General features: G+C 37.1%; 1 protein-coding gene across 3 annotated transcripts in view; it reads left to right on the plus strand.

Moving 5' to 3' along the window:
• USP9Y (ubiquitin specific peptidase 9 Y-linked) overlaps window positions 1-12827 on the plus strand; it is a 159609-nt gene that overhangs the window by 54177 nt on the left and 92605 nt on the right. For all 3 annotated transcript variants that reach the window (NM_004654.4, XM_047442772.1, XM_047442771.1), the window contains 3 exons: window positions 1785-1991; window positions 3099-3235; window positions 5077-5210. In NM_004654.4, the coding sequence (NP_004645.2) occupies window positions 1785-1991; window positions 3099-3235; window positions 5077-5210 (478 nt within the window). The remainder of the gene's footprint in view (window positions 1-1784; window positions 1992-3098; window positions 3236-5076; window positions 5211-12827) is intronic.

Here is a 12827-nt window from a genome sequence, read left to right on the forward strand (position 1 = left end):
ACCCACCTCAGCCTCCCAAAGTGCTGAGATTACAGCCATGAGCCACCGCGCCCAGCCTCACCTGCCTATTTTGTTACACTTAATAATACAAAGAATCCCTGCTACCCCTTGCTATCATATTTTTATGTTCTGCTTATTCTCTTCTGTTTTTCATTTCTCTGTGTTTATTTTCCTGCCTTCTGGAGGGTTATTGGAATATTTTTTAAATTTCTGTAGCACATTACTGTGTCTGTTTATGTAACTTTAAAATCTTTGATAATTCTAACATCTGTCGTTTTTGTGTTGGCACCAGTCAATTCTTTTTTCATTCATGTTGATGTCTTCCTGATTCTTGATATGTCAAGTAATACTCAGTGGAAACCCAGAGATATTCATATGTTGTTTGACTCAAGGAATATTGAAACTTCTGTTTTCCTTGATTTTTGTCTGGCAACACTCAGGCAAGGGAAGGGAGGGATACCCTTGGTTGTTACCACTTGGAAGTAGAACTCCAAGTTCCCTATACTGTCTTCCTTAACACTCGAAGGGGGTGTTCCTTATTACTGCTATGTGGGGGGGAATTTCTGACCCCCTGTGTGGTCCACACTTCTAACTTCTACCATGGTGGGAGTGATGTTTTTTGCAACGGGCAGTGATGAAAGTTCTGATTCTCTTTTAGGCACCACTCCAGCAGAATCAGGCAGGTGCTGGCTCTTTGTTATTGTCAAGTGGAGTTAGAAATCCCAGCTCACTACTTGGCCTTCTTTATCTTCCATAGAAACCCCAGCTCACTAGTTGGCCTTCTTTATCTTCCCACAGATTTTGGCATGCTTGGTTACAGCCTTAAGAACTTTAGGGTTTTCACTCAACTTTTTGTGGTATGCATGGGGAGTGAGTCATAGTTCTTTCTATAGTTTTTGCTTGGAGTAGGACATTTATTTTCTAAGTTTTCAATTTGCATGTTTCCTGATCCATAGGCTATAGGGGTGGCTGTGGGGAGGGAGGGTGCTTTTCTTATCTGCACCTACTAATGTTGGCAGGTTGCTAGATCTTTTAGCTTCAAATCTGGAATATATGAAATAAAAGAAAATTCTGGGAATTCACTACCTTCTTGTTCCTTATATTTAGAAGTCTCTGTGAGGTCTACATTCTTCTCTTTACTTTTCAGGGACTATTTTCTTCCCTATTCTTTTCAGACTCCAAAGTTCGTGTTATGTATAATGTCCAGGAGTTTTGGTTGTATTTAATGGGAAGAATAATGAAACATCTGTTTTACCTTCACAAATCAAAATGATCTTAATTCTTTTCAGTGAGCATTTTATCTCCTACATGTAGACAGCATTTGTTCATCATTTCTTTGTAAGTTGGAGGTTTTTGTTGTTTGGATTTTTTGGTCTGTAACATAATTTCTAATAAACATTTTTCACCTCTTATGTTTGCTTTTTGTTGTAAAATGTTTAATGAGGATTACTTAATCATCTGCTCTCTTTATGTATAACAGCATTTTTGTGTCAGGTATCCTTTGTTATTTTTTAATTACGTAATTTTCAAGTTAAAAGTAACAAAGTTTATATTGGAAATAGAGGCTCTTTTTCCTGGAGTTGCAATTACTTTGTCTCGCGAGTACTATTTTGTTTCCTCTACTAACACCTTTGTTCAGATATGCTCTTGGGGTGTGTGTGTGTGCGCACACGCCCCTGTGTGTATGTGATGAATGTAGTTTATTCAAAGACTTAAAGCAGTGGTTAATGTAAACAAACGTAATAAATTATGTGGTATTTATATCATTTAAATACTTTCTTTAGGCAAGTTGGACAAATGCAAGTAAAAAGCAACGTGAAAAGCTCCTTGAGTTGATACGCCGTCTTGCAGAAGATGATAAAGATGGTGTGATGGCACACAAAGTGTTGAACCTTCTTTGGAACCTGGCTCAGAGTGATGATGTGCCTGTAGACATCATGGACCTTGCTCTTAGTGCCCACATAAAAATACTAGATTATAGTTGTTCCCAGGTATGGGAGTGTTTCTTTGTTCAGTTTTCTGACTTTCCTTCACAAGTAGGATAACTTAGTTACAAGATGATTCCAGTTTTTTCTATCATTTTATTTATTTATTTTTGAGACAGAGTCTCGCTCTGTGTCCCAGGCTGGAGTGCAGTGGCGCGATCTCGGCTTACTGCAAGCTCCGCCTCTCGGGTTCATGCCATTCTCCTGCCTCAGCCTCCCCAGTAGCTGGGACTACAGGCGCCCGCCACCACGCCTGGCTAATTTTTTGTATTTTTAGTAGAGACGGGCTTTCACCGTGTTAGCCAGGATTGTATCGACCTCCTGACTTCATGATCCACCCACCTCAGCCCCACAAAGTGCTGGGATTACAGGCGTCAGCCACCGCACCCAGCCTGCCATTTTTTATTTCTAAAGTAATCTCGAGGAATTGGCATACTATTGTCGTATAAGCCTGGCTACCCGTTCTCCACCCTTGGGTTTTCCAGCCAGATTTTATATATCATTCACTAAGCATTTTTGCCTCACTGAGACAAAGATGTTAATAGGTAGAACATATTACATTCATATTGTAACTAAATATGTAGTGCTAATACAGATCATAAAGATTTAAAAGCACTAAGTGACTTTAGATGTATAAGGGTAATTACATTTTATTTGCTAGTAAGAAGTTAGTAAGATTAACAGAACATATTGGCTTCCCTATCAGCAAATCACAACAGCTTCCCAATGTTTAACCGATGTGCCTTATGCTACAAATTTTAAGTATTAAAACTTCACAAAACTCAATGAAATGCAGTAGCCACCATTCAGACAAATGTTTTAAAATCATACTAACTGTAAATGTGCTGGTATTTGGGAACTGTGTCTTGGTACAGGTATTTCTGAATCATGGAACATTAAATTTATAGAAGCGCCTTACATTTTGGTGTTTTCTTTATAACTTCAAAATAATATATTTAGAGCATTTTGTTTGAACTCTTTTACAATTACATCATAAATTTGGTGATGCTAGGTTTAGAAGGTTTCCTATTTTATAAGTCTCAAAATAATTTTGAAGGTAGAATTACATTGAGTATTGATCCACTTACAGTATAAATTTTTTTCATGTATAAGGATCGAGATGCACAGAAGATCCAGTGGATAGATCACTTTATAGAAGAACTTCGCACAAATGACAAGTGGGTAATTCCTGCTCTGAAACAAATAAGAGAAATTTGTAGTTTGTTTGGTGAAGCATCTCAAAATTTGAGGTAAGACTTTTTTAATAGAGAATTTTCTTATTTTTATCTGTATATTATGTTGGAAATGGTGTATGAAAGCAAATTTTAAAGAAAGAAAACCATGGTGGGAAAACAAGAAATTTCTAAGAGTTTGTTTACAACAAAATAAGGATACTTGATGATATTCAACTTTTTTGTATTTTATGACACAGATAGGTAAGTGATATATCCAATACTAAATAGCAATTAAGTATCATAGCGACATTACCGCCTTTCAGGTCTTAGTTCAGAATTGTCTCTGACTTCCAGCAGATGTATCAGATATTATGCCATGTGTTGTATTTATCTTACTCCTCATTTTACTCTATCCTTTCCACGGTTAACTCTGTCTTGGCTCAATATTCCTTGTAGTTACAAATAGTATTATTTGTTATTTATTTAATTGATTTAATCTAACATTTTTAACATTTGTAGGGGGGAACACCTCTTTCTTGAGTTTTAAAAATTAGACTACAAAGTGATTTAAATTATAAAACATGACAAGACTGTTTAAAGATTTTTTTACTCATAATTTATTTTAGCTAGATTTTCTTTAATTTTAAATGTTTGGTGTTATATGTTAAATTGTGGTTATTTAAATAATTTATTTTATTTTATTGTAACATATTGAAAATTAATGAAATAAAAGGAAAAATAACATGGAGAAACCTGTGTTAGTTGAAGAAAATTCTCAGTGCAGTTAGGATTCCCAGTGATGAACTCCAGGCTTATCTAACTAGCTGTAATCTTAGAAAGATTCTCTCATGGGTGCTGCGGCTCATGCCTGTAATCCTAGCACTTTGCGAGGCTGAGGCAGGTGGATCACTTGAGGTCAGGAGTTCAAGACCAGCCTCACCAACATGGTGAAACCCCGTCTCTACTAAAAATACAAGAAATTAGCTGGGCGTGGTGACGGGCACTTATAATCCCAGCTACTTGGGAGGCTGAGGCAGGAGAATTGCTTGAACCTGGGAGGCTGAGGTTGCAGTGAGCCGAAATTGCACCCTTGTATTCCAGCCTGGGCAACATGGGCAAAACTCTGTCTCAAAAAAAAAAAAAGATTGTCTCATGGTGTATGGACATTTGTCTTGTGTATCAGATGACGATTAATCAAGATGCTTTATAGCTTAGATTGATATAATTATGCCCCAAAGAGAGTTTTTGTGTTGATAGAAGCTTAAAATGCTATTTATGTTTTGTGATTTTTTTTCAAGTTGACTTTTGACTCTATTTTTCTAACGTTGGAAATATTACAGGAAATTTGAAAGTTTCATGGGAATAAACACTGGAAAAAATACTTATGAAGGACACATTTTGATTATTTCTCTATCTATATCGTTTGTCTTTTATCAGACTTATCTATTTACTATAGATAGATGCAGTACATACACTTTCTTAAGACTGGTGACCTCATTACCAGTAGATTAGTAACGATTGTGAGTTGATTGGTTTCGTCAATAATGACAAACTAGGAAGGAAAAGAGAACTATGTATTTTTTGTGATAACCCCAGGTAGAAGGGTGTGAACTCATTGTTCCAGAATGTACCTGGATGTCTGATATTCTTCATCATGCAACACATGTGCTTTGATACTAATAGATACTTTTTATTTTTAAATAAGAATACTGAAATGGATATTTGGTTGGAGGCATGGATTATATTTTTTACAGGGTTTGATATTTTGTTAAGGGGAGGATATTGACCACATTTTGTTAAGAATGTATAGCATTAAAAATTTTTAAAGTAGTAGCTAGAATTTAGCTTCTGTAAACTCTCTTAATTATAGCAATTTTCATGTGCCTTATTATACTGTTAAGTTCTTCTTATTTCAGTCAAACTCAGCGAAGTCCCCACATATTTTATCGCCATGATTTAATCAACCAGCTTCAACAAAATCATGCTTTAGTTACTTTGGTAGCAGAAAACCTTGCAACCTACATGAATAGCATCAGATTGTATGCTGGAGGTATGTATGATAAGCTAAAATTAACTATGGGGAATCAACTTTGTTTTGCTCTAAATGTTAATAACCTAAGAAATAACAACATTTATTTTTGAATGAGAAAAAATAGAAGTGGATTTATACTTCATATTGCATTCACTTAAGGAATATGATCTACTTGGTATCCCAAATCTTAGGCAACCTAAACTCTAGGCCACCTTTCCCAGTGTCTTTATTAAATGCATGTCTACTTACTCATCCTTCTTCTTGGTATCTTTTCTTTCATACCTGGGAGCTCTGCCTGTTAGTATCTATGGTAGGTTATAATTCTCTTGGGTCTCTTTGGTGTGTACTCAAGTCATTACGCTTTTGCTCTTTTTTTGAGGGGAACGGAGTCTCACTCTGTGGCCCAGGCCAAAGTGCAGTGGTACAGTCTAAGTTCATTGCAGCATCTGCTTCTCCGGCCCAAGTGATCCTCCCACCTCAGTCTCCTGAGTAGCTAGGACCACAGGCACCCACCACTATGCCCTGCTGTTTCATATTTTTAGCAGAGACAGGGTTTCGCCATGTTGACCGGGCTGATCTTGAACTCCTGGGCTCAAGTGTTCCTCCTGCCTTGGCCTCCCAGAGTGCTGGGATTACAGGCTGAGCCACCATGCCCAGCTTAATTTGTTATTAATTTTGCCTGATTCTGTTATTACATATATTATAGTTCTTAATAATTCTGAAATATTGTTATCCATTGTTTAAAGAGCTTATTAGAAATTCATTGGATTTGTTATCACTAGATGTGTCGTTGGTTCTTAGACTATGAAATATTTTAAAACTGTTTCTTGTATTATACTTCTCAACAGTCTTTTCGTATATGCTATGTGGAGATCTATCTTGGCATGTTGAAGGTTAATTTGAATGTTATTTGTACTCTTAACAGTTTTAATACATTTTGTGTGCTGGAGCACACAGTAGGCTTTCTACATGTATAGTTGTATGCCCCTTTCCCCAAAAGTTCATAAAACATCTGCGTCCCAAATCAACCACTTCACAGGCCCAATTTTTATGATTATAGAGGAGACAAACTTTTATTGTCCCATGTTGAAGCCAAGATTTACCATAATGTTGGACTGAAATTGCTGCTTAATTGATACGCTACATTAGTATCTGTGGAATTCAATCATATATGTTGAAAATGTGGATATTTGTATTATTAACTGTTTGAAAAGCATAGTAGAGTCTTGGTATGGTTGAGTTTGTAAAATTCCTCAAGTTTTTGCTTAATGCTTCCTTTTAAAGTCACATAAAATAATAGAAAACTTAAGTAACTTCCAGTTACCTCTAATTATTTCATTGGCTTCTGTTCCTCTCACATTTTACCCACTCTTTTTACCCTTGTTGTAGAACTATAAAAGCAATCTGAGCATCAGGTGCTGCCTGCATTTCAATCCTGCCAGTCAGGTTCAGAAGCTCGAAGACAAAAGTGGTATGACAGGCAAGCCCATATAGGCATGTAACCAAGCTTGCTGGCCCCTTTCTTTATCAAGAGCAGCTAAAACCAGTGAAAGCAACATAAAATTTGCATATCGTTCTCTTAAATTCTGTATCACCTCAAGCCTTGCTTGTACCTTCTTGAAGGTACAAAGGCTCTCCCAGATGCCAATGAAGACCCTCCCCAAAAGTGATCACAACTAGATACTTAACTCCAATGATAATTTTATTCATTTTGGGTGGTTTTGTCTGTAATTGTAATGTTATCGTCAACAATTGAAGACCTAATTTCCAATTCAGTCAAGAGGAAAGGCATAGGTGCATTCCAGCCTCACTAGGGTGCTCTGTTTATTTGTTCAAATTCTAGTTGAGTTCTTGACTGATGTCTTATGATCATGAGTCAAGAAATGAAGAAATTCCACATTCTCATGTTCATATTATTTGTTTATAAAGTTGAAGTTGGAATGTAGGCTTTATAGTTAAACTGCTATAAAGTTTATATAGTTAAATACACAATTAGATTTATATAGTTTATATAGTTGAACCTACCTCCAACTGAGTGACTTGCAAAGTACTTAAGTCTTCTGTGATTAAGATTTACCAAATTTGTAAAACAAGAATAACAGTAGTATATACCTACTTTATAAATGAGTTAATACTTTCTAGAACATAGTATTTGCCAGAATGTTACCTGTATACAGCACATGCTTGAACACTTTCTGTAATTATACAGTCCCCTGAATTCATTGATTATGTTTTCTAGAACTAATCATTTACCTTTAATATTTTCCATTTCTGAGTAATGTTGCTCATTCTGAGTAATGTTGCTGAATAATGTCAGTTTGTTCTTAAATATAGGGACACAATTTCTCTCACTAAAACTTTTATATGATTAGGATTATATAAACCAATACCAACAAAAACTATGGTGATTGCATCTTAGAAATTTCTTCAAGCATAGGATGTAATATGCAAATAGATTTGAAGTTCTTACAGTTCACTAATGTTTTCTTAGTTTCTGATAATCATTTCATTAGTCTGTATTCTGACTATATACGATACTACTAGTTGTTTATTTTTGTAAAAACATTTCACCAGTGGCATGGTCAGCTAATTTCATGTTATTTTAGATAACAAAGTAACATTAAAATTTTACTTATGGCAAAAATGAGTACCCTTGTCTCACTACTTGAATTTAGCCAGGAATACTTCCTGAATGACATTTTTCAAAAACCTTTATGTGCATCAACAAACTATCAACCACTTTGTTTATCTCATTGAAAGGATGGTATTTGTGATGATTTACTTACAAGAGTATTATATGTCATTTTTCCTGATTTCTGAATAAAATTTGTAGGATTTACACTAGTTACAGGGCACATTACTGTTCAAGAAAATGTCTTTTTCTAAGAATTGTCATTTAAATGTCTTCTGTTCTTTCTACTTTCATTATGACACTTGATTCTTTTGGGGACAAGTTGCCGCAGGAAAAAAGTCTCTTCACAAGTGTCACTCAGCAACAATGTCAGTGCTAAATGCAGAATCTGGCTTTGATTCAGTCACTAATTCTACCTCATTTTCTTTGTGTTTTTTTTTTTTTTTTTTTTTTTTTTTTGAGGCAGGTTCCTACTGTCTGACCCAGGCTGCAGTGCAGCAGTATGATCTCTGCTCACTACAGCTTCTGCCTCCCAGGTTCAAGTGATTCTCCTGTCTCAGCCTCCCAAGTAGCTGAAATTAGAGGCATGAGCCACCATGCCTGGCTAATTTTTGTATTTTTATTAGAGACAAAGTTTCATCCTGTTGGTAAGGCTGGTCTTGAACTCCTGGCCTCAAGTAATCTGCCTGCCTTGGCCTCCCAAAGTGCTGGGATTACAGATGTGAGCTACTGTGCCTGTCCTTACCTCATTTTTGCATGCCAGCTATGAAGTACTATTAAATCTTCAGTGTGGGTTTTTCTGATCTAAAAAATATTTTGAACTGAAGTGATTAATTTCATGAAGTTTGTATCTCTTTGACAATGTAGGCTTTGTACTGGAAAGTACAGGATGAACTTTAAACATCCTACTGTGCCAGAAATTGTAAAAAGTTTTTAGAAAATCATATTGACATATCAAAAAGACATAGGATTTGCCTCTCAGTAGTCAAATCTGTGACAATTTGGGCATCAAAATAATTATACTTATGACATAACTGCTTTACAATATGAGTCCTTTATGTTGATTAAAATAAATGGAGAACAATGCCAACGAAACATAGGAAAAAAACAATAGATGATAAAAGAAGTAGCTGAAAGTCTAATAAGAAACAGATTACTGACTCAGTGTCAAAGTATCCTCCCAGAAGTTTATACAAAGAGAAAAATACTAACTTTTCAGTGGAGAAACGTGGCAGAAACACCTTAAATAAGTGATCTAAGTTAAAACATAATTAATAAAGGACACACTGACATGGCTTCTGATAATATGTGAAATGAACATAGGATATTTTTGGGGTATTTTGTTCAAATCATTGCAAAACCTGAATCTATGGAAAATACAGAATGCAAATTGAGTGGTGTAAGTGGCTTTATTCTTAAAATGGTTAAAATAAAGAAACACAGAAAAGATAAAAGGAAACTTTAGGTAAAAGAAAGCTACTTGTAGTATATGAGCCAGAGTTTTATTCTAGACTTGCAGAAAAGAAAGCATAAAGTGATGACATTATTGGTACACTTCATTAAGTTTCTAAATGCACCATGGATCTGATAGCAGTCTTATTTGGAGTCTTAAAACCTGGTAAATATACTGTGGTTATGAAAAATGTTACGTGATTGATCCTTGAACAACACAGGGTTAGGGGCCACCCTACAAAGTCAGACACCCCACAAAGTCAGAAAATCCATGTGTAACTTTTGTAGGGGACACCCTACAAAGTCAGAAAATCCATGTGTAACTTTTGACTCCCTCAGAATTTAATTACTAATAGCATACTGTTAACTGGAAAGTATTAATGATAACCAAAACAGCTGATTAAAACATATTTTATATATTCATGCATATTGTACACTATATTACAATTAAGTAAGCTAGAAAAACAAGATGTCACTGAGAATATTGTAAGAAAGAAAATAACCTCTACTGTTTATTAAGTGGTAGTGCATCACCCTGAAGGCCTTCATCCTGGTTGTCTTCACATTGAGCAGGCTGAGGACAAGGAGGAAGAGGAAGTGTTGGTCTTGCTGTCTCAGGGGTGTCAGTTGAGGAAGAAATGGAATGCGAGGCAGGAAAGGCAGGCACACTCGTGTAACTTTAGGGAAATATTATTTCTGGCTGATGTTTTTGCTTTGTCATGTTTCAAAAAATGTTTCTATACAACAGGGGTCCCAAACCCCTAGGCCAAGGACCATGATTGGTCCCTGGCCTGTTAAGAACTGGGCCACACAGCAGGAAGTGAACAGCAGGTGAGAGAGCATTAGCTCCTGAGTCTTGCCTCCTGTCAGATCAGTGGTGGCATTAGATTCTGATAGGAGCGGGAACCCTATTGTAAACTGCACATGCGAGCTCTCTAGGTTGAGTGGTCATTGCACTTGATGCCTGATGATCTTATGTGGAACGGTTTCATCCCAAAACCATCCCCACCCAGTCTGTGGAAAAATTTCTTCCAAGAAACTTGTCCCTGGTGCCAAAAAGGTTGGGGACTGCTGCGGTATAGTACTAATCCATCCTGCACCATTTGCTGTAGTTTCAGCACCTGTATTATGGAAGTCCATGTCATAAAAGAAGGCAAAAGCAGTCTTTAGTGATCAGAATCCTCTGCCAGCTTGTTTAATGTCAGTTTGTTTTCTGTCAGTGCTTCTACTACTTCCTCATTGTCTGCCACTGGTTCAGAAGCATTCATTTCCATTAAGTTGTCTTGTGTCTTAATTCCTTGGTGTAGTGTCTATTAGCTCTTGAATTTGTCCAAGATTCATATCATTAAACCGTTAACCCATCCGGTTTTTGCTGTTTGCATGATCTCTTTCATGCGATTACCTTAATGAGCTCTGTTGTAAATCCTGGGAAGTCATGTACAACATCTGGACATAGTTTTGAATGTGTTGTTTCCAGCCTGAGGGCTTTCATCATCTTTTCTGTTAAAATGATGGCATCTGCAGTGGTGTAATCCTTCCACATTTTCATGATCTTCTCTCTGTTAGGGTTCTGTTACACAGTATTCACAGTCCTTTCTAGAGAGTACCATGTGTAATGAGCCTTAAAGTTCCTTATGACTTGCTGATCTAGAGGCTGAATTAGAGACGTGTTTGGAGGCAAGCAGACCACATTGATGCCTTTGCCCAGAGGCATTGTCTAATTTCAAAAAGAACATTAAAAGGCACCCATTACTGGCAAGGTACTTCCTGACTTCAGGGACAAAGCTCTGATGGAACCAACCCAGAGAAAGGGTTCTTCTACTTGTCAAGCCTTCTTGTTGTGCAACCACAAGACTGGCAGCTGGTGTTTATCTTTTCCTTTCAAGGTGGAGCATTAACACTTTATAGGAAAAGAGCCATCCTGATCATTAGCCTGACTGCATCTACAGTTAGCATACTCTTTCCTGCCTTAAATCTTAGTACTTGCCTGTTTCTTACTAACAAATGTCCTCTGTGCCTTTTTTTTCTTCCAGAATAGGGCACTTTCATCTGCATTAAAAGTCTGTTGAGGCAGAGATCTTTTCTCAATAGTTTTTACGAATGCCATCTGGGAACTCAACTGCTGCCTCTTGCTTGGCAAAAGCTGCTTCTCCTGTTATCTTGATATTTTTAAAGACAAACCACTTTCTGAAATTATCACATCATCCTAAGCTGGCAGTTCTTCAGTTTCAAATCCTTCACCTTCCTTTTTGCTGGGTCTGACCCGCAGACTCTGGCCAAGCGACGGATGAGAAAATGTACGCAGACACAGGTTTTTTTTGCCTGGGCACACGGCTAGGGGACTGACCGCTCACAGACACCCAGGAAGGTGCTGTAAAGAGTCACAGCAGTTGCAGCCCTGAGAAGTGGGCATTTATTTAATACACATTTAATGACAAAGGCTTTCAGTCAACACAACTTGTGGGTATTTACCTGGAGAGAGCAGTCCTGCACGCACATGATTAAAGGCCAGGTTCTGAGGCCTAAGTAAACTTAACTTACCTAGATCAATTCCTTTACACTTCCTTGTTATCTACCTTTTGCTCTCAGGCTCTGGATAAGAGAATTTGGCTGCCTTCAGCCAAATTATCTTTCAAAGCTTTTGCAAAACCTCCCAGCCTTCCAAGAAGGTTTGCATCTTTTCCTATAATTTCTTCTTATAATTTCTCCCACTACCCTGACCGAACTCCTACACCTTTTGCTTTAAGTTGTCATATGACTTTGATTTTTCCCGTTAGATTAGTCTATAAGTGTGCCTTTTTTATAGCAGTCTTACTCAAAAAAACTGCATTTTCAATACAAAATTGAAGATATTTCACAAAAGTGCAAAGTTTGTTTCTATTGTCATAGATGCAATGACAGCTTCATGAAGAGTGTGTGTATCTGTGTGTGTGTGTGTGTGTGTGTGTGTGTGTGTTTACAATCGTCCTTACACTGAATTCATTTATCGTGAAATGGTGGGCAGTCATGGTTGCAGAACTCAGTCTGCAATGCATATCAAACAATTCAGCTTTTTCTTGTGATATCATGATTTTCACTATTTTGGGGGAAGCACATCATTTAGGTCCTCTGGTGTCATTCATTGTTTCCATTATTGCACTAAACACAAAAAATACATGAGAACTGCAAGAGATTTTTTTTTTTGAGACAGAGTCTCACTCTGTCGCTTAGGCTGGAGTGCAGTGGCACAATCTCAGCTCAGTGCCACCTCTACCATCTGGGTTCAAGTGATTCTCCTGCGTCAGCCTTCTGAGTATCTGGGATTACAGGCATGCTGCACCATGCCCAGCTAATTTTTGTATTTTTAGTAGAGACACGGTTTCACCATGTTGGTCAGGCTGGTCTCAAACTCCTGACCTCATGATCCTCCCTTCTTGGCCTCCCAAAGTGCTGGGATTATGGGATTACAGGCATGAGCCACCATGCCCAGCCAAGAGATTACTTTTTACCATGATACATAATTTACTGAAGAGACTAACTGCTCACTCAGGAGTTTAGAATCACACAGCATT

Source organism: Homo sapiens, chromosome Y (genome assembly GCF_000001405.40).
Source record: "Homo sapiens chromosome Y, GRCh38.p14 Primary Assembly".
In the NCBI taxonomy this organism is placed as follows: domain Eukaryota; kingdom Metazoa; phylum Chordata; class Mammalia; order Primates; family Hominidae; genus Homo; species Homo sapiens.